This window comes from Homo sapiens, chromosome 4, assembly GCF_000001405.40.
Source record: "Homo sapiens chromosome 4, GRCh38.p14 Primary Assembly".
Taxonomy (NCBI): Eukaryota; Metazoa; Chordata; class Mammalia; order Primates; family Hominidae; genus Homo; species Homo sapiens.
In genome coordinates, this window is record NC_000004.12 from 5,888,026 (window position 1) to 5,913,504 (window position 25,479).

Below are 25,479 nucleotides of genomic sequence, written 5' to 3' on the forward strand. Positions count from 1 at the left end.
CATGCGGGGCTCCCCCACCCCCATTGTCCCCAGAGGCTGGGGGAGGGGGCTGAAATCCCGAGACCGGCCCCGCCCCACCCGCGGCGACGCAGGAGGCCTCGGGGGGCGCCCCTGCCGGCGCCCCGTGGATCTGGACCCTGCCGGGCGCCCACTCCCAGCCCACAAAGGCCAGCGCGGGGCGGCGGGGGCGGGGGCCGCTTACCGTGATGTGCGGGATGCTCTTCTTGCCCTGGTACGACATGGCCCCCTCTGGCGCCCTCGGCCCGGCCGCTGACCTGCGGGGCTGTCTGACTGGAACCGGCGCTCTCGGCCCCGCTCCCAGCGGGCGCGCTGACAAAGGCCCGGGAGGGATAGAGACACGGACGGAGGCTCGGCGCCCGTGGATGCCCACGCGCGGCTGCCCCGGCTGCTCGGCCCGCCCGCCGCCGCTCCGGCTGCCAGCACCGCCCGGATCGGCGAGGAGGGCGGGAGAAGGAGGAGGGAGAGGCGAGGGCGGGAGGAGGGGGCTGCAGACAGCTCCTCCCGGCGGCGCGGAGCGAAGCCGGATTCGCCCCTCTCGGCTCGAACCAGGAAGCGCTTCCCTTCCGATCTCCCACCCCGCCCCCCGCCCCCCACCCGCCCAGCCCCGCCGACCCCCGCCCTGCGCACACGCCCTTGGCGGGCCCTGGCCTCGCTCTCGCGATCCAGAGAGTATGGTTTTCAGGGCTCCTTTAAAAGAAAAAGACGGCGCGGTCAGGGCCCGCGGGCGGCGCCACAGGTGTGTGGCCGCGCGTCTGGAGGCCTCCCCGGAACATCTGCGGGGGTGTGGGGGGAGGGAGTGTGGGACGGGGGCCAAGGATCGGCCCAAGCTGCTGGGAACGTTCTTGTCCCTCCAGGATCGCGCCCAAGGACCGCTCCCCTCTTGCCTCTCCTTCCATAGCCTCCGTTTATCCTTCCCGAGTGCCTCTCCCTGAATGCACCAAGCACTTTTTCCATCTCGGACCCCAAGCCTTTATTCACGCTGTACCCTCTCCCTGAATAGTCTACCCCAGACAAAAGCCTGTCCACTCCCCTAGACCCATCTCCAATGCCTTCCCCACCACGAAGCCTCTCCCTGCCACCCTCTCCATCCTAGCATTGAACCAGCCCTCCCTGGGGGCCTCTAAGGTGGAGCCCCCTAACTGGCAGAGGGAACAGCAGGGACAGAAGGGTACGGCCTTAATTAATGCTGACCTGTTCTACTCCAACAGCAGCTCCCTCATCACACAGCAGCCTGACACTGGGGCCACCAGGTCACCCCACAGAATTGCCTCCAAGACAGCAGGTGTTTGGAGGGCTGGGCCACTGGCACCAAGGTCTCCACAGCCCTGGGGACAAGCTGGGGGTCAGGAGGAGGACTAGGGTGCTCCTGCCTCCCAGCACTGTGGACACCAGCCCCGGAGTCCATGATCCAGATGTTGCTCCAGAGGGAGGTGGGCAGGAAGCCAGGTCACAGCTTGACAAGGTCCGTAACAGCAGAGGGGAAAAGATGAAAGAAGATGGAGGAAAAGGGGGAGCCCCAGCAAGCCCCAACCTCACTGGACAGGTGCCCCAAGTTCCCAGGCAGAATAAAACACCAACCTTGTCCACCACTTCGTTGTTCATTTTCTGCATGCGAAATCCAACCCCACAGGTCCTATGAAACTACTCATCTTTTCTGCTTTCAAGTTGCCATCCAGAGCGAGGGTGGCCTAGGCTTGGTACAGCTCCCCCAGCACTGTGGTTGGGGGCTGGGGCCCTGACCTTCACCACCCCAGGGGCCAGTCCCCTAATCCAGGGCAGGAGGCCAGAGACACCTGGGCCTTAAAATAGAGGTGAGGTTTTAGCTTCACAGAGAAGCCAGCTCAGTATCCCAGGAACACTAGGCATAATTTTCCCATTTTACAGACAGGAAATTGAGGCTTACAGAGGTAAAATGATGTACCCCGGGTGCAAAACATATTAGCTGCAGCAAAGCAGCATGGAGATGCCAGGTTCCCCTACACTCTGTTTACAACTCATTTCCCTCCACGCATTCATGCATCCCTGGCTCTCAGCGGGGCCTAAAATCCCTGTCAATGACCGGAAATTGCAGATGGGGACACTGTCCCTCCCCAACTCCTACACTCCCTTCCTTGGAGTTGTTAAGTCCTAGGTTCCCCGTACCAGGGCGTTCCCTGGGGTCAGTCTGGAGATCTGAGCAGAAAGCCCCTACAGCAAGGGACAAGACCACGTGCGTATCAGGGGGAGGAGCATCCGCCTGCCACTGGCCAAACAGATCGCTGCTCCCAAGCAGATTTCGCCGGTACAAAGCGCCGCAGCCGCTCAGCCTCCGGCAGCGGCAATCCTTGCGCCTGCGCCGCAGAAACCCCTCCTGCAGCCCAGGGAGAAGCCTGGTGGGCGGGGGGGGAAGGGCCGGGGCACCCGTTGCGAAGCCCTGGAGCGGTGAGGCCCGCCCCGGAACCCGAGCCCACTGTAACCCAAGCCTCAAGGCCGCTCTGCCGGCAGAAAGTAAAACCCTCCCTCCGTGGAGATCGCGAGCCCCTGAGTTCCACAGTCGCGAAGCTCGAGTGCTTTCGGAGCCCCGGGAGCGCCAGAGGCGCTGCCTTTTGTCCGGTGCCTGAGAAGCCATGGAGAAAGGCAGAGGGGACCACAGGGAGAAGAGGAAGGAGTAGGGGAGAGGAACGGGAGAGGTGAAGCGACCAGCGTCCCCAAGGGTCAGGGCGCAGCTGCGGGGCTGGCCCAGGCTGCGCCCTGGGGGAGATGCTGGCGTTGGTGACATTGACCGCAGTTCCAGAGGAACTCTCCTTGGGACAGCTACGGGCCGTGCACAAAGCGCCCTCGCCTCCCTAGTACTCCACCACGCTTTGAGGAAGGCCGGAAGAAGACGGCCACCCCCATCTGACAGATGGAGAAGCTGAGGCCCAAGAGAGCAAAGCGCCTTGGCTGGAAACCCGGATTCCCTGGTGCTGGTCCCGCTTCTCGGCCCGCGGCCCAGAAGCCTCCCCATCGGGCTCGGGAGTTTGGATCCCAAGAGAGGTCGGACCACCAGGGAAGGTAGTGGACAGGGGGAGATACAGAAGGGGTGGGGGAAGAGGAAGCTGGACTCTCGCACCATCTCCCTTTCTGATCACCCCACCACCACACACACATACACACACACACACACACACACACACACACACACACACCCTTGCTGTTGGACCTCTCCCTCGCGAGGCTCCGGCTTCAGGACCACGGAGAGCTCTGGAGCAACAGCCCGCCCGCGAAGGGATGGGGCCCGAAGAGGCCCACCACCGTGTTTACCAGTTCCCTGCTCCTATTCCTCCAGGAAGCCCTCCCAGATATCTGCCCCGATCAAGCTCTGCTTCCCTCCAGGCTCACTTTGGGTCACTCATAGCATTTAAGAGGGGAAGGTTTAATTAAAATGATAATGATTGTAATAAAAGTCAACAACAAACATTTATTGAATGCTCACTACCGACCGGCATTAACTGATTTAATTCTCACAATGAATCCGTCGCTCACCCTAGCCTGGGAACTTCTGGAGGGTGGGGCCAGGTTGCTGAGCCAGGGACCTAGCGCCTACCCTGGGCCTGGCACCTAGCAGTTCTCCGGCATCCAGGTCTGGACCAATTCGAAAGCTCCCCAGCCCTCGGATGCTCCAACTTCCGTTTTTCTGGCACCTGACCCTGGCTCTCGTCGGTCCATCCAAAGGCTACGCCGTCCATCCGCCCTTCTTCCCCCAGTTTCCTGGTGACCCCCAGCTCAAGAGAGAATACCCGCAGGGCCCAAGCCCTAGCGTTCCCTCTCCCTGATCCTCCCGGCCCCATGCTCAGGTCCGGGAGGCCAGAGACCCCAGTTCAAATCCCAGCTCTACCTCCACCTTGCTCTGTGAAGCAGGCACATCGGTGTGTGCTGTGGAGCTCAGGAGTGCCCCTTGAATCTACTGGCGCTTGAGGGTAGGGGTTTACGGCTCCAACTGCCCGACGAACTAAATCCTTAACCAAATCCTTCCCCCCAGCAAGCATGAGGGGAGCGCTCGGAAAAAAAGCTCCTTCCAGCTTTAAGCTGTGTGGCCGCAGGCGACTCGCGGAACCTCTCCCGGGGCCCGGCACACAGTAGGTGCTCTATAATTACTACCGACTGAGTGGATGGATGAATGGACCAACACGGAACGGAGCTCCAGTTCTTTTCACAAAACAGAATGAGGGGCCTGGGTTAGATTCATCCCAGAGGTTCCTTCGCGTTTAAGCGTCCATGCGGTAGCTTTAGCCAACTTCCCCTCTCAGAACCTCTCTCCCTTTCTGTAGAAGAGGAGCCGGGACTGGACCCGGGCGATCCCTTCCGAGTCTCACGGACCACGCCGGCCAGCCCCGACCGAGTCGCCCCAGCTCTGGGAACCTCTTGCATGATGAGGTGGGGGAGGGGCCGCGCCGTGGCTCTCCCCAGCCTGGCGGCCGCTGCCCCAACACCGGGGCCCGGGCATGGCCCTCGGGCGCCCCATGCCCTGGGTCCTCCCGGGGCCCGCCCCCCTCGTCTGGCCCGCGCGCGCCCCGAGGGTACCTGGCCATTGTCCCGGCCGAGGGGCAGGTCGCGGGGCGCGGGGCGGCGGATGCGCAGCGTCGGCGGCCGCTCGTCGCGCTCTCCGGGAGAGCTGACCGCGGAGCCCGAGGGCTCGCTCACGTCGCTGGCCGTGTCCTCGCTGCCTCCCGGCCCTGGCAGCCCGACCGCGTCGGGCCGGCCAGCGCTGCGCGGCGTGCGCGCCGAGCCGCGGCGGCCCACACTGTAGGCGTCGAAGTCGATGGTCTTGTTCTCGTAGGCGCCCTCCACCGCGGCGAACATGCCGCCGTACTTCTGGCGCGGGGTCTGCGCCGCGCTGCCCGGCCGCGCCAGGTACACGGGCAGGTCGTCCTCGGTGTTCCACGCGCGCCGCCGGTCCGCCATACCCGTCCAAGGCCGGCCACCCACCGCGCTCCCGCCTGCCCGCCCGCGGCCCTGGGCACCGCCGTGCGCCGCGCTCCGCGCCTCGGTGCGGGCCTGCGGCGGCCCGGGCGCGACTGCGGCCCAGGGAGGGGAGGGGCGGGGCGTGGCGCGCGCCGGGGCGGGGCCGGGGCGGGGCCTCTGGGCGGCTGCGGGCTAGCGGCGCGGCCAGCTACAAAGGACCAGGAGGCGGGGATCGCGGCTGGGGCGGGGAGGGACGGTGACGCTCCCGAGCCGCAGCGCGGAGGGCGGGCCGCGGCACCGCAGTGCCCTCGCCGCACCCCCCACTCTCCGCCCCCAGGCGGAGCGCAGGGCGCGAGGAGAGCGCGGGGCAGGAGCCGTGTGCGTACACTCGCGCGCCCACACGCTCTGGAGGCACACGCGGGTTCATACCTGCACACCAGACAATTACGCCAAACACATGAGAGATGCACAGACATGCTGGCACACACACGAGAGTCAATCACACATGCTCTCCAGAGATACACAGGGGCTCGATCATGCACACCATACTCAATGTTGCACACACATACACATATATGCTTGTGCACATTCCGAGTTCATTACAAACACACAACAGAAATCCTCATTGTCTCACAACCCCACTCACACACAGTATCACACCAAGATTAATTGCACAACTGGAGAGGCACATGCGTTGGACACACCGTTCATTCCGTCAGTTTTATTTTGCTGAGCGCCCACTAGTGCCTAGCACTGTTGTAGGAGCTGGGAACAGAGCCATGGACAAAAGAGACCAAGTGCCTGCCCTCCAGGAGCTGACCTGCTAAGGAGGGGAATTGGATACAAAAGCACCCATATGGTGGGCCAAGAGGTGGTAAGGGCCAGGAAAGGTGGTGCAGCAGCCAAGAGGGACATGCTAGAGGCACACTCCGACAGACACATAAGAGAAGCACATTCTTGCATGAGAATCAGCGACACACACATACACGTGCACGCCAATGACACCACACAACACACCAATATCAAAGGCAAGCTCAGGGCGATTCCACACATGTGCATCATAAACTGGCAACAGGATGCCCACACACAAGTCCACACCAGTAATAAAGGAAGTCAAAAGCTTAAATAAAAACGCTCCAGAGAAAGACACACAGAGACAGAGATGACCACACACACACAGCTGGCAGTCAACCAGACAGACAGATATTCCCTCATTCGAGGGGCACAGTCCACTTTTGTTGCTCCTGGAGCTTGCAGTCTGGGCGTTCTGGGGTTTCTCTGTCGTGGAGGTCGCTCTGCTGGGGCTCTCCTCTAAGGCCAGGCACCACCTGCCTCCTATAGACACCTTCCCTTATTTCTCCACGATTATCAGGCAGAGGATCCTGCAAGTCCCTGGGGACCCTACAGTCCCAGCTGCACTTCCTGGAGAGGCAGAATCGCCAGCTGCCGACCCCCTCCTCGAGCCAGTCTAGACAAGCAAAGTCAGGACTGGGTGGGGACTGCAGAGGGGAGCATCAGTGCTTCTTGCAATGTCCCCCCACCCATAGCCTTCCATGCTGGGAGCTGTCCCTTCAACCCCGGGCCCTGCCAGCTGCAAGCCAGAGCTCCCGCAGCGTGACCAAGCTCCAGGAATACCAGACAGACAGATGGATTCATGTTCTTGTTTTATGACTCTTGGGCCCCATGGACTGAGGATCCTGGGGCCGTCGGATCCGTGGCCTCAGCTGACACCTCCCTGAAGCTACTGTCTTTCAACCCTGCAACAAGGGGTCTGTGCAGCAGGTAGGTATTTTTACCGGCCCCCTCTTGGAAGAGGAAACAGGAGGGGAGATGTGAAATGGCTCCCTCAGGGCCTCAATCTCAAGGAGGTTCAGCCAGGCCTAGAGCGTGGGCTCATCCACTCGGTGGGCATTTAGCAAGTTATTTTTCTGTGCTTGAGAGAGAGGCTAGTGTGGGGACACAGATGAGTATTTCTAAGTCTCTGTCTTCAACAAGTGTTTACTCTCATGGGGGAGAGAGTGCTGAATGCGAGAACAGAAAGTTCCACACACAGCCTCCATCTACCTTCCACCCACCGCAGCTGCATCCTGGCTCCTCTCTCCTTGTGTCCCTGGGTCCACTGTGCAGATTTGCCACAGACACTCCTCTTGAGGCCCATCAGCCTCCAGGCTATCTTGCAAGTGTTTTCGATTTTTCAATGAAAATTTTTCTCTGTCCTGTGAAATACTATTCCCAGCCCATTCCAGGCAAGAACAATTCATGTCGAAAACCACATAGAAATTTCTTCTAAAACCCCACAAATGTTCAGGGTGACATAACCCAGAGAAATATCAGAAAACTCAAAAGTCTGAGTTAGGTGGAACTTTGGAGGCCAGGCCTCCTACTGCATGCTTGAATCTGCTCTCAACATCTTGAGGACACAGTCTCTCAGGCTTTGTTGGTGGTGATGGAAATCTTACTGCTTCTAAAGAAAACCCTTTCCATTGTGAGAAAGGGCTGGGCAGTTGCCAAGACTAGAGGGAGTGACGCAAGGAAGGAGCTGAGAAAGTGCTGTCTTTATGCAGAAGCAGGAAAGGATCTTCATAGCTTCTGCTTATAGAAAGTTTACTACGTGCCCGGACCATGGTAAGCACCTAACAGATAGTAACTCTTTTATGCCTCGCAGCAACCTTGAAACTGCCATTTTAGCCTCATTTTACAGATGAGAAAACTGAGGTTCAGAGACATAAATAACCTGTCCAGGGTCACAGCTGGCAAGTAAGACTTCGAGGTTTAAACAGAGTAGTCTGGTGCCAGAGTCCACATCGAAACAACTACCCTTTCCTCTCCCCAAGAGCCTGACTGAGGTGGTCCCACTGGGAGATAAGAGATAAAGGGACCTAGTTTAGGCAGAAGAGTCTAGGTGGTTGAGTTAGAATCCTGTTTTGCATGCAGTCTTGGGCAACTAATCATTCGACATTCATCTAACACACCTTTGTGGCGCCCACTGCGTGTCACTGACTTTATATCACTTCCTCTCACTCTTTTCTCCCCATGCAGAGGAGGCGATCGGACCCTCCTGAAACTGCATACTGTGTATAAGGGTCCTTGCACACACAGTTCATTTCCGTGCATCATGCTCTGCCTTATACACTGCTGGCTCCCTCAGGCAGCCCCACGTGGCGAACCAGGCCACTTCCATCTTCAGGCTGGAGCGCTGAGGATGACAAACCTTAAGCCCATTGCTCAGGTTAACCACCGGGAAGTGACTAACCTGGGATTTCAACTCAGGTTTGTCTGAGTTTTTTCCACACCATCTCATCTCAAGGTCAGTAACCCAAGCGCAACAGAGAAAGGGAGGAAGGAAACAAAACCCAGGGTATAAAGTTGGAAATGCACCCTCCAGCTTGCACGGAGACAGAAAGGAGCAATATTTGCCAGGGACCAACAGAGGCAGCAGGGGAAGCCTGAGATAACTGCCCCCATCCTGACGACAGCTGTGACCTCCCCCATCCCCCAACCCATCCTCCAACTGCTCCTAGTCCTCCTGGGAAGGAGTTCTTATAAGTGAATTACAGCACTACATTTGGTGAAGGACAAACCTTGAGCTCATCATGTCAGACATGAAACCTTCTTCCTGGGTGATGGCAGAGAACAGAAAGGGACACGTCAGATGGGAGAGGACAAGAGGCCAGTTCAGGTCCGATGTGGATTTTGTTTCGGCAAACCAAAAAAAAAAAAAAAATTCGTTCATTCATTGCAAAAAGAATGTTTTCAAAAAATGAAGGAAAGGGGATTGTAGTTTATCATCAGGTATATAGTAATGGATTATTGTCCTCATCTCAGATATAAGAAAAGATGTTCAGAGAAGTTAAACAAGTAAACATGTTCGGTTACATGGCCAGCAAGTGACAGAGATGCAGTTCAAATCCAGGCTCATTTGATTTTTAAATGTCTGCTTTTTTCTGTGGCCTCCAAATTAGTACATATGGGACTGTGGTGGGCAGAATAATGATGCTCAAAGATGCCCACACCTGAATCCCTAGAACTACTGCCCATGTTACTCCACATGGCAAATGGGACTCTGTGGCTCTGCTTACAGATCTTAAGATGTGGAGATGATCCTGGATCACCTGGTGGAGCCAGTGTCATCACAAGAGTCCTTTTAAGTGAGAGAGAGGCAGGAAAGTCGGAGTCTGAGAACGGGAGATCAGAGAACAGAAGCAGAGGTCAGAGTGAGAGAGATTTGAAGAGGAAGGAAGGGGCCACAAGCCAAAGAATGTGGGCAACTCCAGGAGCCAGAAAAGGCAAGGAAACACTTTCTCCCTGGAGCCTCCAGAAGGAAGGCAGCCCTGCCAACATCTCGGTTGTAGCCCAGGGACTCTGACTTTCAGAACTACAAGATAATGAATGTGAGTTGTTCTAAGGCAATGGGTTCATGGTCATCTGTCAAAGCAGCAATCAGAAATCACTACATGATTATAAAGGAAATCATTTAATTATTTGTGCAAAGTGGATTTGAGTACCAAGAAAAGCATTTATTCCCCACCAAAAATCAAGGGAATCCTAGCTCCATTGCCTTTTTCTGTTACGTCAGGGTCGACAACACTTTGTAACAAACCATCAATAAATAAAACATTCAGAAGGGAAAAAAACCCTTTAATTGTGAAAAAGCATACATTTTAATGTACAAAATTACACAAATTATACATTTAACTCACATAGAAAAATACATCTCAGTAACAAGAGAAAATGCCGGCCTATTTTACACAAATGGAGCGATCATTACAAATCCTGAAAACCCAGAGGGAGGGTTGAGCCCGACCCACAACTGGTCAGGAATCCAGTGAACATCTCCACGGACTGATGGTTTCACTGCAGGCAGGCCCCGGAGGATAGCTGCCCCAGGACCCGAGGCAGGTCCTGCTGAAGAGCTTCCGGAGGGGAGGTGTCGGGTCCTGTCGCTGGACCACTCCCGTGTGAACCAAGGCAGCTCACTCCGGGGAGGGGCAGGACTTGGCCTGCCAACATTCTCAGCCTTGAGTTTATGAATGAGGGCGCATAGGAGACCTTGTAGATTCATGCAACCGCAAGGTGTACAGTTATTGTGCATTTGGGATTCAGCGGGAAAGTACACAATTTCTAAACTGATGTCTGTGCTTCACAGCTTTCATGTGATTTCTGCCCAGGATTCAACCTGGAAGAACTAAGGAGTCCACAGAGGTTCTACCAAAGTGAACTTGCCAGCCTCGCTTATCACTCTGCCAATGACACTCATGCCTCTTCCCTGCCTCACCTGCAAAAGCTGGTTGTGCAAACCCGAACTGTGGAAGAGATCATCTTATTCCCCCAACTCAGGTTGGTAGGATAGACCCCAGCCTCCCACCAAAATGTGTTTGTGCAGAGCCCATTTTCAAAGGGGTGAGGGAAGGCTCCCAACATCCACTGACATGCTGAGTGCTTTAAGAAGCGTGCTATTTCTTTAATCTTCACACCTTACCCACTGTTTCCATGGAGGACTTTGAGGTTAAGAGAGGTAGGTACCCTGTCCAAGCTTGCACAGTTAGTCGGCAGCAGAGCCGTCGCGTGTCTGGCCCCAAAACTCACTCTCCTACTGCTGTTAGGTACAGACCTTGTCCTTTTCCACTAAAGAATTAATGGCTATAACGTCACTGCATAGACATTTATTTCCCCCATCACTTTCAATGTCCTATCTACAAATATTGTATTACACGACTTTAAAAAGAAAATACTGACTCAAAGTTAGTATCAAGTTTTCAGCCATTTTTAACAATCCCATTAATTTGTCTCTCTCCTCCCTTGTTCTATCATCACATAAAGGGATCATCAGCCCATGCTTGGACACAGCCTGCTGGTGTTTTCAGAGACAAAAAAAAATGGTGTTGGAAAAAACTCATTTTTGAGCTATCAATTCTTCCATTAGTCTTTCCATTACTCAATACATTACATTTACACTAAAAATGCAGAAGTCAGACTTGTATAGGAGCTGTGCTTTCTGAAGCCAGAGTAGGATTTAGGGAAGTTCACATGGGAAAGAGAAAACCCAATCCTTCAATCCCAAGTCTACTGAGTTCTTGAAAGCAGTTTTAGGTCCAACGTACAAATTATCTGTTTTTAGAAATTCCCATAACACAGAGAAGAGGACTAAATACATTAACAAACCCCAGGGATCTTTTCCTTCTACACCACCTTAAGGCACCAGAGAACTTCCAATAATTTATTTCAAAGCTAGGTAGGAATGCAGTTTGCCATTGGTGCACATGCCGAAGACAAATCTACTTTTGTTTGCTTACCCAACTGGCAGATATATCTATCACAGAATATCTCTTTCTGCATATTCTGGAGTTTAGGATGCAAACAACTGCACCCAAGAGATTCATTTAGTGTGTCATTTACCACCCAATTATATTATCTGAACTTTCATGGAATTGTGCAGTGACCAGTCACCAAGAGCTCAGCTCCAGGCTCTGCCACAGCGGAGCTCAAAGCAGTAACACATCATGCATTTCATTTCTTTAAGAACCACCAGCTGTTTAAAAGGCCCTCTGAGGGTAGAGTTACAAAGCCAACTCATGGTCAAAAATTCTCCAGAGATGAGAAGTTTCCTCCTGTAGACTCTGAGGACACATTTCTTTCCTAGCTAGGAGCATAAATAAATATGAGTCTAGCACAGAAGAAACCCACAATAGCATTTTAGAACTTAAATAGCACAGGGAATGGGGGAGTGGAAAGAGACTATGTGACTGTATTCCCATGGTTCTCCCCCAGCTGCCCATTAGAATCACTGGGGAGCTTTTCAAATAGATCTCTGCCCAGGGCCCCACCCAATACAACTTGATTTCAGTGGCCTGGAGAGAGGCTTGGGCATCAGTGTTTTAAAAAGCTCTGCAGGTGAGTCCAACATGCAACCAGGGTGAAGAATCATCAGTACAGAATGCGGTCTTTACATCCTTCAAATGACCTGGAGGGGGTAAGTGGCAGGGCTGCAGCCCCTCTTACCCTGCCTGGACTCCCAGCCCAGAGCCCTTCCGACCACATGACACTGTCTCAACAGAGAAAAACAGGTTGTGTCTAAAATATGTCAGAAATGTCTCGCACCCTATTCTCAGAAGTTGGCTGAGTTCTCAGAAGGTTTCACGTTTCAGACCTAGAATTTCACCCTGGAACCAAAGGGGAACTGTGAATCTCTTAAAAGAAGCTCACCAGCCTGAAGATGAAAAGCCCCTCTCAAGTTTATAAAAGTTTACTCAATAAATTGCTGAGTAAAACAAATAGAAAGGACCCCAGCTGTAAAAGGACTTGCGTTCCCTGTTCTCTCCAATGATGGGTAACTAAACTCATATAATAATCTCATTCCAAAGCAATTCAAAAACCTTTGACCAGCTTTGGTGCTTGATTTCACACCGAGAAACTAGGTAAGGAAGGCTACGGAAGGGTGGATTTAAAGATCAATCATGTAAGTCTAGCCAAAAAGTAGGTGAGTTTCCAAGATATCCTGGGATTCAGGGCTTCCCCAGGGCGAAATGCAGGCATGAATTCCACACAAAATGAAAGAATTCCTTAAACTAACATCTATCACTAGATGATGCCATATAGATTGCAACCCAGTAGAAAACTAATTGCATCAGACCAAGACCTAAAATTCTGAATCAGCAGAGCCTGCCCCATGGCACGGTTGGAGAATACTGCATAATGACATCCGAACCACGTTCAGTCCCATTTGCAGTCAAGTGGCTTTGTCACTGGACCGCAGATGTCAGTTAACCTCATCTGGGAATCAGTTTCCTCGCCTGTAAAATGGGGAGGAGAAGGATGCTTACACTAGATGAAGTCTGAGGCTGTCTCCAGCTCCAACAATGGATGTTTCCGGATCTGTCACCTTAATCACTGACCTGCTGGCTTGCCTGGGAAGGGCAATGGCAGGGCCACTCTGAGCACACAGCCCATGTGTGTCACCCTCTGTATGTCACCATGTGTGTCACCATTTGTATGTCTTGCATTTGTTGCAGCCCATTGGTCTGCAGAGCGATCAAACCACACTACCTCAGCGTGTCCCCACTGCCGCCACACCTCCGACATACCTATTTTAAGAACAGTGCCTAGCAGTTCATGGGGAAACGTTGCTATGCCAACTAGCTGGCTGTTGCTAATCATAATCTATGAATGTGCAGTACAACCATCTGACAAGTATTTCTTCTCTGCCTTAGCCTGTGGACTTTCTTCCAAATTGTCATATGACAGATCACCTTGTTCATAATGGCACACAGTAGGTGTATAATAAATGTGCATTATATTAATGACATGAGTAAAGTATATGCACAACATGTAATTCTGCAAAATGCCTTCCCATCCAGTTTTTCCATTATTGCGCACAGTAGGTGCCGAGGTGTGTATCTTATTATCTCCATTTGCCCAGCAAGTAAACTGGGGAGGGGAGGCCACTTTCCCTAGTCTCGGAGCCAATAACTTGCAGAACCCAGATTGCAGCCTAGCTATTCTGGTCTTAAACCCTAACCTGTTTCTCCTACATCGGGTGGTCTCTGTCATCTCTCTAGAAGAAAGTCAAATAACACCAATCCTGTATATACATGTAGATCTTAAGAGTTTACAAAGGGCTTTCCATCCGTATTCCCATTTCATTCAAAGCCTAAAGGTAAACTAAGAGGCAAGGCTCTCCGGGGCCCACACCTGGCCCACAGGGTGTCCTGTGTGCAGTGGGATGGACTGTTCACCCCAGGAGTGCTCCATTGGCCTTGCCCAGGGACCCTGGAAATGACTGAGGGGATAACCGAAGCAGCACAGGCTGGCAGGATCACCATGCTGTCTAAAGGTCTGGGGCCCAAGACAGGTATATTCTCTGGTACTGCCAGAGAAGTGGGTGAGGTCCAGATATGCAGGAATCACACAGACAGCAACAGATGAGCCTTCCAGGTAAAGCCAAGGCCCTTGGAAAGGCAGCTCAGAAGAGGCCCTTAATGAGTACTCATGGAGCGACTGAGCAGACTTACGCGGAAGCCCACCCACCAGGGCAGCAATTTGGCCTACTCTGTTCTCTCCCAGAACCCCAGGGCCTACTGTGGTGCCTGGCGCTTAGTGGTGCTCAATCAGTGCTTGTTCCTTGAATGAGTGAATGAAACCTGGTGACTGACAAACCTCAGTGGGAAGCTGGAAACCACACTTTTCCTTGTTCCCTTTTTTGAAGATATTTGGAAAACATGCCGTCTTTTTAACCTAGAAAACAGATCTCTGCTGGGGAAGGCAAGGAAAGGAATTAGACTCTATTGAATGTCTACTATGTGCAGAGCACCTTCCATTTCTCATTTCCCCCTGTGCTGTCAAGGACAGTGATATTTTCCCCACTAAACAATGGAAGAGTTTGCAGATCAGAGAGATGGGCTCACCTGCCCAGTGCCCTCAGTGGCTAATGCGTCAAGCTTAGGTTTTGAAATCAGGCCAATAGACTCTGAAGCTGGTTGTTCCCATGATGTTACATCTCTTCCTGGGTTGTGTACTGCAGGAAGAGGATTTGGAACCCTTGGACGTGACCTTACTTGTTAAGAAGTAGCATTTGTGAAGCATCTGCTGGGTGCCAAGCCCTCTGCCGGATGCTTTTCTTTTCTTTCCCTGCCTCAGTTAATCCTTGTAATAGCCCAGTGGGGAAAGGTGTGGCCCCTTTTCCTGTCTTGCAAATGAGAAAACAGATCCCCAGACGCTAGGTTGCCTGACATGGCCTGTGCTTTTAGTAACACCCCTTCCCATCCCAATTGCATTCAATGGTCAATGCACAACATCTCCTCTGTCTTCACAATACTTCACGAGGCTGCAATAGAAGGTTCCATTTCTCCCATTTTCCTCCAAAGAGGAAATTTAGGTTCAGAAAGTTTAAGGGCTTTGTCCCAGGGACCTGGGACAAGCAGGTAGCAGAGCTGGAAGTAGAATCAAGGCTTTGCAATGCCCAGTTGCAGGCCCTTCCTGCATTTCAGCAGTTGTATCACTTCCTGGCCTGTGAGACCTCGGGCCCCAGCCACCCTTCCTCCCTGGGCCTCTGCATTTTCACCCATAACATGATGGGTGCTGAGCAGACGAGGTGTCACCAAGCCATAGCCTGTGGAAACCAGGCAGCTTTTTCAGTGAGTGGAGGAGAAAGGAGTGGGGGCCCTGCAGTCCACTGAGTGGGGTGCCTCTCAGTGGGGGAGGGAGCGAGCTGGCTTCATTCACCTCTGACTGTGGCCAGGAAGATGGAAGCCCGATGCTGTCAGATACACTGATTTTCCAAGAGAAGCCAGAAATCCAGATTTGTATATGAAATCTCTTGGTTTTTAAATGTCACTTGCTAACTCCAATATTAAAAAATGCAACATAGGCATTTGTACACCTGTGTTCATAGGAGCAATACTCACAGTAGCCAAAAAGGTGGAAGCCACCCTAAGGTCCCTCAATGCGTGAATGATAAACAAAATGTGGTACATCCACACATTGGAATATTATTCAGCCTTAAAAAGGAAGGAAACTCTGACACATGCTGCCACATGAACCTCGAAAACATTGTGCTAAGTGATATAAACTAGTCATGAAAGGACAAAGACTGTATGATTCCACTCACATGAGGTCCTAGAGTGGTCAAATTCATAGAGATAGGAAGTAGAAGGGTGGGTGCCAGCAGCTGTGGGACAGGGAAATGAGGAGTGAATCTTTCATGAATATGGTGTTTCTAATTTTGCAAGATGAAAAGGTTCTGGAGATGGATGATGGTGATGGTTGCACCACAATGTGAATGCACTCTGTGCCACTGAAATGGATACTTAAAAATGATTAAGAAGATACGTTTTAGAGTTTTAGAGAAACATACCTTCTTAACCATTTTTAAGTATCCAGCTCAGTGGCACAGAGCTCATTCACAATTATAAAAAAAGTAAATGTAAGCCAAACATGATACATTTGTGGGCCAAATCTGGCCCAAGGGCTGCCAGTACCCGCTGTGGACTGGAAACTCTCTAAGGTCTGTAATGTGATATGGGGCCTGCCTGTTGCTCACCCAGCACCGACCACTGCCCCAGGTTCTGCGGAGATCTGAGACACCCATGGCCAACTCCAACCACCAGATCTGACTTCCAGTCACCACCCACTGTCTCACAGCAGCCAGGGCAAGAAAACATGTGGCTCACTGACGTTTCCCCGCTCAACAGCTGGATTTTCACTGCATCTTCCTGGGCGATGCTGAGATTTCACAGGTCCCTGTCAGGCCCCTGGCCGCCAGTGTAAGCGGGCCTCACAGCCCTGCAGTTTACAGGGAAATGGTGTCAGAGGAAGCAGACTCCCTGGGTCCAAGCACAGCAACTGGGCCGTGATGCTCTTTAACTGCAGAGCAAAAGGAGCTGAAATGAGGCTGCATGCCTGGGCACTTTGGGGTGCTGTGGTCAGTTGGGCGCAACTCATGGACACAAGTTGAGAGAAGAAGAGCTCTTCGCTTACTCTGGAAGCAAGAAGGCTGGGTGTGGAAGCTTCCTGTCTGGCCAGAGCCTGCCCCTCAGTAGGAACTCAGCCACTGGAAGACTGTGCCACACCCATTTTACAGATAAGGAGCTGGGGCGGATAGAGGCCAAGGGACAGCCTTAAAGTCGCCAGCAAGTTGGAGGCAGAGTCCGTCTCTGGATTTCCGGACAGAGTCCTTTCTGCCGAGACTAGGGGTGCTTGGCTACTAGGGTGCTTGTCTACCAATCTTATTTGCAAATCTGATGAAATCCATGCTCCTTCTCCCTAGGAAAGAGTTCACATGCATACAACTTTTTGTGCAGGTTGGGAACTCCATCCTAGCCCAAGCTTCTTCAGCAGCTCTATAATATCAAGATAACTACTACAGTGATTTTTTAAAACCATCATCCTATCATCCCCTCATCACCCATCTTGGATGGAAGCTACGCAGAATGGTAAATCAATGAGTCCTTATGGCAGAGTGCACTCCGAGACAACCGTCAGTGAAATACCTAAGTCGAAGGAACTGCATTTTACAAACACAACAAGGATCCTGACACTTGGAAAGAATCTTACAGTGTTCAGGTGCTTTTCCAGCCATTAGCTCATTTGGTTGTCAGAGCAAAACTGTCAAGTAGGCATATGACCCTCAAACAGACGAAGAAGAGGATGTTGGAAGAAGGTAAGTTATTTGTGCACGGCGACCCAGCGTAGGAGCAGCAGAGCCGACAGGTCCTTGGGACTCCAGACCCGGCTTCCTGTCACTCACATGGCATTAAATATGGGCTTCTTACAGTCAACAGCCATCTCTTGGGTCCCCAGGTTGGTATCATACAGAGTAGAAGTATTCCCTATTAGTGACTTGAGACAGGAAGATGGTTGCTTGGCTTATAATTTGGCTCACTGGAAAGGATTGTAAATCATAGGCCACCTCTGCTCTGTCGGTCAGTTGAGAAGGATGTAAATATTTTCCAGCTTGCTATGTTTGCCCCTGTGCTGTCTTCCTTCCTGCAATGACAAAATCAGGGAAACAGGTTCTTAAAGGGAACATAGCAACCAGTGTGGCTTCTACATGAAGCCATCCACATGCACACACCTTTACGTCACTGGGAGACCCACTTTAAACACCATATGTGGTGGACTTATATCATGGAGTATCTATCATACAATTATCAGCTTGCTTTCCAGGAAAGAATCTTAGCTTGGAATTATTAGATAATGCTCTCTTTATTTGGGGTGCTTCAGACCCTTGACATGATATGGAAATTTTATGTTACTAAGCATTCATGCACATTCTGTAGAGAGGGTTTCTAGCTTTCAGGAGCCTCTCAAAGGGGCCAATGGCCAAAAGAAGGTTGAGAACAACTGAAGAAGAAAGACAAACTGGGGTGCTCTGGGATGTCGTCATTTGTTCGTCCAACAAAAAGTGATGGGACACCTGCTGTGTGGTAATCTCTATGCTAAGCACGGGGGCAGGGGGGCGGGGGGCAGAGGGACGGATGCCCTGCTTGCCCTCCTCACGTTACAGAGGGTGACATAGGAATCATCAAACAAATGCAAGTCCCAGGTGCTGCTGTAAAGGAGGAGGGGTAACAGTGGAGGCGCGGACAGCAAGAGTTGGTGTCAGGGTGTCAGAGGAGGAGCCTTCAGCCAGTGCAAAAGCCCTGGAGAGAGAGGGAGGGAGCAGGAGAAGCCGGTGTGAAGAAAACAGAGAAGCAAAGAGTGATGTGGCAGGAGATGAACCTGTGACGGTTGGCAGCATGGCAGATGTTGGCATGGAGAGAAGTGGGGGGGCGGGGACTCCAGACATGGTAAGGACTCAAAAATGATTTTGCAAGGGGAAAGGAAGGAAGAAAATGAAGGAGGGTGAAATAAAGACTGTCTGGAGATGGTGACATTCGAGCAGTCTTGGAGACAAACAGGAGTTTTCTGGGCAGAGGAAACAGGTTGGGCAGAAGCCAAGAAGTATGGGAGAATACAGGCTGGGAGGGGCTCAGCACAGCGTGAGTAGCGGAGAGAGTGGGTCTAAAGAGCTCAGTTTGCCAAGAAGAGCCTTCATGGATGCACCAGATTAATAAACATATCTGAACAATGTGACAGTGTGCAGAGAGGGACCCTAGGAAAATCAAAACTCTGTCTGTGCACAGCATCCCTTTGCAGTTCCACAGTTGCCCCATGACTGACTTCACCAAGCCAGGCTTTGCTGCAATGCTAAGGGTCTCAGAACTGGGCAGAGATGGCTCACACACAGCTCGTGGCCGCATCCATCCCAAGGGTGTTAGTGAGGAAGCCAACCTACTCAGGGCATTGTTCGTGTAGGTGTCTTTAGTCTCCTTCTCAAAATGTATTTTTATCTATCTGTAGGTACACAGCTTCAAATCCTTTTTTGAGGAAGGAATAAGCAAGACAAAAATAAACCAGATTTAAATCCTTGAAGCTTATAAGACCATTGGTATCCAAACTTATATATAAATCAGAATCACTTGGAGAACTTTACAAGAATTCTGATTCTTAGGCTCAATCTCAGATTTATGAATTCAGTGTTCATGAGGCAGATCTTGGAAATCTGTGTTTCCAATGAGTTCCATGCTATGCTCATGCATTAAGCTGGGGGGACTCTTATGTGTTAAGCTCATAAGCACCTGGCATCTGGGTACTGCTGCAGTCAGTGATGCTCCACTACGAGGACAAAGCAACAAGTTAAGCTTGTAGTAACTGTCACTAGAAGCAGGTGGGTGATATCAAACACAAGAAGGCAACATTCTTTCCCTACATTATACATGATAACATATAGATACTGCATTCACCAATAAGTTAATGGAACAACCGTTTAAGAAGTAACAAGTACCACAGGGTCACTTCCAAAATCCATGTGGGACACTAAAAGATGCTAATTTCTGATAAAGTTTCATCAAAAAAAATCACAGGAATTATAGATATCCAACATCTGAGAGACAATCATCAGATGCAATAAATAGGATAGATCACTTTTGGTGGTGGTGGGGAGGGTCATGTAATAGGAATTCTAAAAGAAGACTTTAAAATATTAATGATCACAATATTTGCATATATGTTCTGTAAATGAAAAATAGAATAACTGATGATCTCTACAGGCGAGCTAAACAGTAGACTAGACACAAATGAAGGCAGATTTAGTAAATTGAAAGGCAGATCTGAGGAAATCATCCAGAATTCAGCCCAGAGAGATAAAGAGGCATATGGGGGCTGGGGGAAGAGGTGCTCTAGATTGAGTTGTTAGTAAAGGTCTTTCTGAGAAGGTGACATTTGAGTTGAGACCCAAATGACAAGGAAGATCCAGCCATGGAAAGCAATAGGGCCAGGGGTCTTGGGCATAAAAGAGAGAAGTAAAAAGGCCCTAAAGTGGGGTCAAGCTGGGCAGGAACATGTTGGCATGTTCGAAGGACAGAAAGCAGACCCCTGAGGCTCCACTCTATGAGAAGGTGCCATGAGGCAGAGGAGAGTACTCTGCATGGAGTCAATGAGTAGAATCAGCTCAGAAAGCTGGTTAACAGGAGACATATTTCAGTTGAAGGTAAAGAAGGACTTTTTAACAAAAAGAGCTGACCATTCACTGATTCATTCATTCATTCATTCATTCATTTGCTTGTTTATTCATTCACTCATTTATTTGCTCATTTTTAAGTACCTACTATATGCCAGGCACTGTGTTCAAGGCTATGGAGAATGTTGAGATGAATAAAACCCAGACACATGTGTCCTCAAGGGCCTTATATCTGAGTGAGTAAAACAGACAAGCAAGCAAGTATAATGCCAGAACAGAAGGAAATGCTGGGTTACAAAGTAACAGTGTACTAAAGAGAGTCAGATGAAGGATCCATTTGAGAAAGCTGACTGAGACATTATGACAGGGTACATGCAGGAAGCTCACTGCACTGCACTGCATGTGTGGGGATATCAGAGAGGACCTCTGACTTCAACCAGTGGGCTCTGTGATGTGACGATTCTATAAAACCACAGGAGGCATTCATATGTCCTGGGGAGTTGGCAGCGACTAGGCTACAGCCTCCCTTCAGAGTCCAGTGGAGGAAGCAAATGTGTGAAGCAGACAATGGCAGAGACTCCAAGCAGGGAGACGACCATGCGATGGGGAGGGGGGAAAGCCCTGGGGTATCAGAAAATGAGGGCAAAAATGGGGACACTAGTCCATGACCTACTTAGTTCCAGACCTTTGTGAAGACAAAAGCTCCTCAATGAGAGAACACCATCCGATAGGAGAGACCAATACATACGTGACTGCCCTTGACACCATTCACCTAGCTCCCAAGGTCATGCAGCCTTCAGTGGGGATGCACAGGGGATGTGGGAAGGTCATACTTGGGGACCATTTTGTCACTGCCCTTTCTCTCACTCTGATCTGTAAATCAAAGAAGAACCAGCCTGACCTACTTCAAAGATTTAAAATGCCTGGAAAGTACAGAATGGGGGTTACCTGCTCTGTCATTCACTCCCCTGAATGGCCATTGTCCCAGCCCAGTCCATGACTGCCTCTTAGCTGGACCACAGAGAGTTTCCTAACCAGGCTCCCTGCCTCAGGCTGTCCCCACACAATCCACTCTACACAGCAGCCAGAATTCCTAGGAAGCTGATGACATCCTGCCATTGTTTCAAACTACTACATGTCTTTCTCTGCTTTTAGGATGCAGCCTAACTTAGCAAGACTTACAGAATATCCTGTCATATCTAGCCCTGCCTATGTCTTTGAGTTCATCTCTTGAAATTCAAACCCTTCTACGTCATGCAGGGACCACATGACCTCCTTGCAGGCTGAGCACACTGGCCTTGACCACCAAAAGCAGGGTTCGGTGTCCAGAGGGAAATAAATCATCTAGCTGTTGACCGCAACCAGATATTTTGCCCATTTTAAAATCAGATTGTTTGTTTTTCTGTTGTTGAATTGTTTGAGTTCCTTGTATATTCTATATAGTAATGTCTTGTTGGATGTATAGTTTGCAAATATTTTCTCTCATTCTATAGATTGTCTCTTTACTCTGTTGATTGTTTCCTTTGCTGTGCAGGAACCTTTTAGTTTGATACAATCACAGTTGCATATTTTTGCTTTTGTTGCTTACACTTTTAAAGTCTTATCTATAAAATCTTTGCTCAGACCAATGTCCTGAAGCATTTCTCCCATGTTTTCTTCCAGCAGTTTCATCGTTTTTGTCTTACATTTAAGCCTTTCATCCATTCTTGATTTTTATAAGTGGTGAGAGATAGGGGTCTAGTTTCAATCTTCTGCGTGTGAATATCCAGTTTCCCTAGCACCATTTATTGAAGGGAATGTTCTTTCCCCAATGTATGTTCTTGGCACCTCTGTTGAAAATCAGTTGGCTGTAGATATGTGGATCTGTCTCTGTGTTCTCTATTCTGTTCCATTGATCTATATGTCTGTTTTTGTACCAGTACATACTGTTTTGGTTACCACGGTTTTGTAGTATATTTTGAAGTCAGGGGGTGTGGAGCCCCCAGCATTTTTTCCCCCCTCAGGATTGTGTTAGCTATTTGAGGTCTTTTGTGGTTCCATGTGAATTCTAGAATTTTTTTTTCTATCTCTGTAAAGAATGGCATTGGTATTTTGATAGGGACGGCATTGAATCTGTAGATCGCTTTGGGTAGTATGATAATTTTAGCAATATTAATGGAGCTGAGATTTTATACAAGATCTGTCAGACTTCAGGATCCATGCTCTTGAGCAAGACACAGAGAAACATACATAAAAAAACCCCAAGAGAAACTGTTCATGAGAAAATGTGAACAGAGCAGGTGCTGACCAAGGACAGGTTAAACCTAGTTCAACTTAATGTGATTTTTACGGAATGCAACCTGGTTCCAATATATTTCCTCAGGGGATAGTTAGCATTTCTCATAGGGAATTAAATCTAAAATTTAAGCCTTTTGAAAAGCTTCAAAATTTAAGAATCTCGTCAATCTGTTCCATCTGGTCACTAATTTTTATATTTTAAGTAATGTTTGTGTTTATGATCCACATTATGCTATAAACAGAATTAATGTGAATTGTGGTGTTTTTAATTAACATACTAGTTATTCCTAAGGAATTATCTAGAGTGTGTCCTTGTATAATCAGTTGAGGAAAGAGATTTTCAAAGAGAAAATGACCCCACAATAATCACCCCACTCGATCATGGCTGAGCTTGGAGTGGCCTCCCCAGTTCCTCAACCAATAACCTCTCTACCTCACCCCCTGCCAGCATTCTTCAAGAATCTTCTATGTGTGTAGCCCTGGGCAAGAAGCTTTTTTGGTGTTTGAGGGGAAATAAGATAAAGTCCCTGCCCTCAGGTGCTCTCTTTTTTGTTGTTGTCAGTGGAGTGGGGGGGATACCTCTCTATTGAATTTGAAAGTAGCACCATGTCCCTATTTGTCTAACAGATGTTTCATCAGAGCCAATGGGTTTCTTCCCTTTCTTTCTTTTTTTTTTTTTTTTTTTTGAGACGGAGTCTCTGTCGCCCAGGCTGGAGTGCGGTGGTGTGAACTTGGCTCACTGCAAGCTCCGCCTCCCGGGTTCACGCCATTCTCCTGCCTCAGCCTCCCAAGTAGCTGGGACTACAGGTGCCCGCCACCATGCCTGGCTAATTGTTTTTTGTATTTTTTACTAGAGACAGGGTTTCACCATGTTAGCCAGGATGGTCTCGATCTCCTGACCTCATGATCCACCTGCCTCGGCCTCCCAAAGTGCTGGGATTACAGGCGTAAGCCACCATGCCCGGCCTCTTCCCTTTCTGTGCCTTTCGAACTTGTGGGGTTTTCTGGCCCTTCTCAAAACCAGAACCCCCACATCGAGTATCTGTGGTGGATGGTTGCCCAAACATGGATGTGTCCTCTGATGGGGAGCCCACCAGCTGTGCCAGGGAAGTCTGTTTCATGGACAACTCCAACTATTGGGGAATTCGTTCATGAGTGAAGTTACAATGAGACTTGCTAGAATGTGTGTGAAGCCAGGGAGGGAATGCTTCACATGTCACTTACAACCCCAGCAAGGGATCCCTTTACAGAGAGGGGCCTCTCTTCAGATAGGTAAGCCTGGTTCCCTGGCTGCCTACAGGTCCATCAGAATGACAAAACATGCAGAAAGGCCCAGCTTGGCCTGCTTCACCACTCAAGGTGGCAGGATCCATTTTGCCTGCCCCAGATAAAAAGATGAAGAGGAAACTTGCTGCTCTCAGGCCCTGGTGGGGAACAGAAATAGAGAACCACAGTGGTGAGCTAGCAAATGTTTAACAACTGGCTCTCAAAACAAAAACAAAAACAAAAACAAAACAAACAAAACACTAGGCGTGGTGGCTCACGCCTGTAATCCCAATACTTTGAGAGGCCCAGGCGGGCCGATCACAAAGTCAAGAGATCGAGACCATCCTGGCCAACATGGTGAAACCCCGTCTCTACTAAAAATACAAAAATTAGCTGGGGATGGTGGTGCATGCCTGTAGTTCCAGCTACTTGGGAGGCTGAGGCGGGAAAATCGCTTTAACCCCGGAGGCGGAGGTTGCAGTGAGCCAAGATTGCACCACTGCACTCCAGCTTGGGTGACAGAGCGAGACTCCGTCTTGCAAAACAAAAAAACAAAAAACAAAAAAACCACACAAACAAACACAAACAAACAAAAATACCAGACCTGATTTTCGGCATTTTTTAATTTCCGTGGTGTAAACACTCCTACTATGGCTGATTTTAAGCTGCTGATATGTTGGTAAGAGACGCATGCAATTGGCTCTCAAAAGGCATGCAGGAAGAGCCAGCTCCAGTCTAGCACTCCACTCGTGTGTGTGTGTGTGTGTGTGTGTGTGTGTGTGTGTGTATTTGGGGAAGACATACATGTAAGAATGAATGAATGGATGCATGAATGAATGAGAGCAGGATACCAATTTTGCAAATGTAATAGGAAAAAATTGGAATGAGGAAAATATTTTTATAACTGCAGCAGATAGGCCTTTATGAAGAAAAGGAGCTGGGATGAGTGTACAAAGCATTTTCAGCAGTGTTTCTACCAAATTACTTTCAAGGAAATGTATCTGTCCTTGTAAAAGGGGTATGATGGTGAAAGAGTGCACCAGTGTTCTAAAATGCACCCAGTATTTTGTTTTAATAGGGTATGGTAATGTGACAGACATAGAGACAACTGTGTTTGAAAGAAGAGTTTATTACTCACAGTTCCCTAGAGGAAGGGGCATGCCACACCATGCAAGGCCACAGAGGGAAGCAGGAGGCAGAGGAGTGCAGAGAGAGCCTGGCCCAGAGCCTTTATTGTGAGTTCTGCAGGAAGAAATGGGTGAGGCAGGGGAGGCAAGCCTGAGCATGCCCAGTACTGGAGAGTTTTAAAATTGTTGCATGCTCTGGGTTATATTTTTGCATGTTCTCTAGTTGTTTGACACCTGGGCCTGGGATGACATGTGGCAGGGGAAATGTTGGCTTGGTATGTTAGATAAAGGAGGAGACTGGAAACCTGCCAGGCTGTAGATTGTCTGGCTTGCATATGAAAGGCGTGCTCACAGGGGAGTCATTTCCATCTCTAGAAATTAGCCAGCCCTGGCAGGGGCCGTATCTCTCTGGCCAACAAGGCCCCAAGATGGCAAAACATCACAAACTATAGAAAATAAAATTTTATTAATACAACCAGCTTTGGAACCGACTACCTGTGTGGCCTAGGGCAAGTTACTTAACCTCTTTCTTCCTCAGTTTTCCCATCTGTAAAATGAGGATGACAACGCCTACCTTATGGGGCTGGTGTAAAGAAGGAGATACTCAGAGGCCTTAGCAATGGCAGAGCTGGCATCTGATCCTGGGAAACTACTGGAAACTCCAGACCATAGCTCCTTGATGAGGAGGAGGCCGTGTCTCTAGTGTTCTGCACAGTGCCTGGGGAATGGCAGGCAGGCAATGACTATTCTGGGAACACATTTTGAGTGAGGGTAGTGAGGGTCAGAGAAAGCTCTGGTGTGTAGAAATAGCATATACTATGAAACAGATGAGCCTGTTCAATTTCCATGAGCTTCCTAATCACATGGGGA

General features: G+C 50.1%; 2 protein-coding genes across 8 annotated transcripts in view, besides 3 other annotated features; both read right to left on the bottom strand.

The window, feature by feature from the left end:
* CRMP1 (collapsin response mediator protein 1) overlaps window positions 1–5,061 on the bottom strand; it is a 72,323-nt gene extending 67,262 nt beyond the window's left edge. Inside the window, exons 1-2 of one of the 4 annotated variants that reach the window (XM_047449629.1) lie at window positions 1,600–2,196; window positions 203–1,346 (exon numbers count right to left, since the gene is read on the bottom strand). In XM_047449629.1, coding sequence (XP_047305585.1) covers window positions 203–241 — 39 coding nt within the window. In that variant the 5' untranslated portion in view covers window positions 242–1,346; window positions 1,600–2,196. Of the gene's footprint in view, window positions 1–202; window positions 1,347–1,599; window positions 2,197–4,563 lie in introns of those variants that run through there. The other 3 variants (NM_001014809.3, NM_001288661.2, NM_001313.5) reach the window with 3 other exon arrangements.
* Window positions 2,178–2,922: an enhancer, noted in NCBI's record as "H3K4me1 hESC enhancer chr4:5891930-5892674 (GRCh37/hg19 assembly coordinates)". NCBI's record gives its function as "activates a minimal SCP1, AML or CMV promoter by ChIP-STARR-seq in naive and primed H9 embryonic stem cells {active_cell/tissue: H9 hESC(naive and primed)}" and the evidence as "EXISTENCE:reporter gene assay evidence [ECO:0000049][PMID:30033119]".
* Window positions 2,923–3,666: an enhancer, noted in NCBI's record as "H3K4me1 hESC enhancer chr4:5892675-5893418 (GRCh37/hg19 assembly coordinates)". NCBI's record gives its function as "activates a minimal SCP1, AML or CMV promoter by ChIP-STARR-seq in naive and primed H9 embryonic stem cells {active_cell/tissue: H9 hESC(naive and primed)}" and the evidence as "EXISTENCE:reporter gene assay evidence [ECO:0000049][PMID:30033119]".
* Window positions 5,062–9,561: 4,500 nt separating the features above from the next.
* C4orf50 (chromosome 4 open reading frame 50) overlaps window positions 9,562–25,479 on the bottom strand; it is a 120,960-nt gene continuing 105,042 nt past the window's right edge. For all 4 annotated transcript variants that reach the window (XM_017008893.2, XM_047415667.1, XM_047415663.1 and 1 more), the window contains one exon: window positions 9,562–17,424. The gene's annotated coding sequence lies outside the window, so the exon portion shown is untranslated. The remainder of the gene's footprint in view (window positions 17,425–25,479) is intronic.
* Window positions 24,596–25,221: an enhancer, noted in NCBI's record as "OCT4-NANOG hESC enhancer chr4:5914348-5914973 (GRCh37/hg19 assembly coordinates)". NCBI's record gives its function as "activates a minimal SCP1, AML or CMV promoter by ChIP-STARR-seq in naive H9 embryonic stem cells {active_cell/tissue: H9 hESC(naive)}" and the evidence as "EXISTENCE:reporter gene assay evidence [ECO:0000049][PMID:30033119]".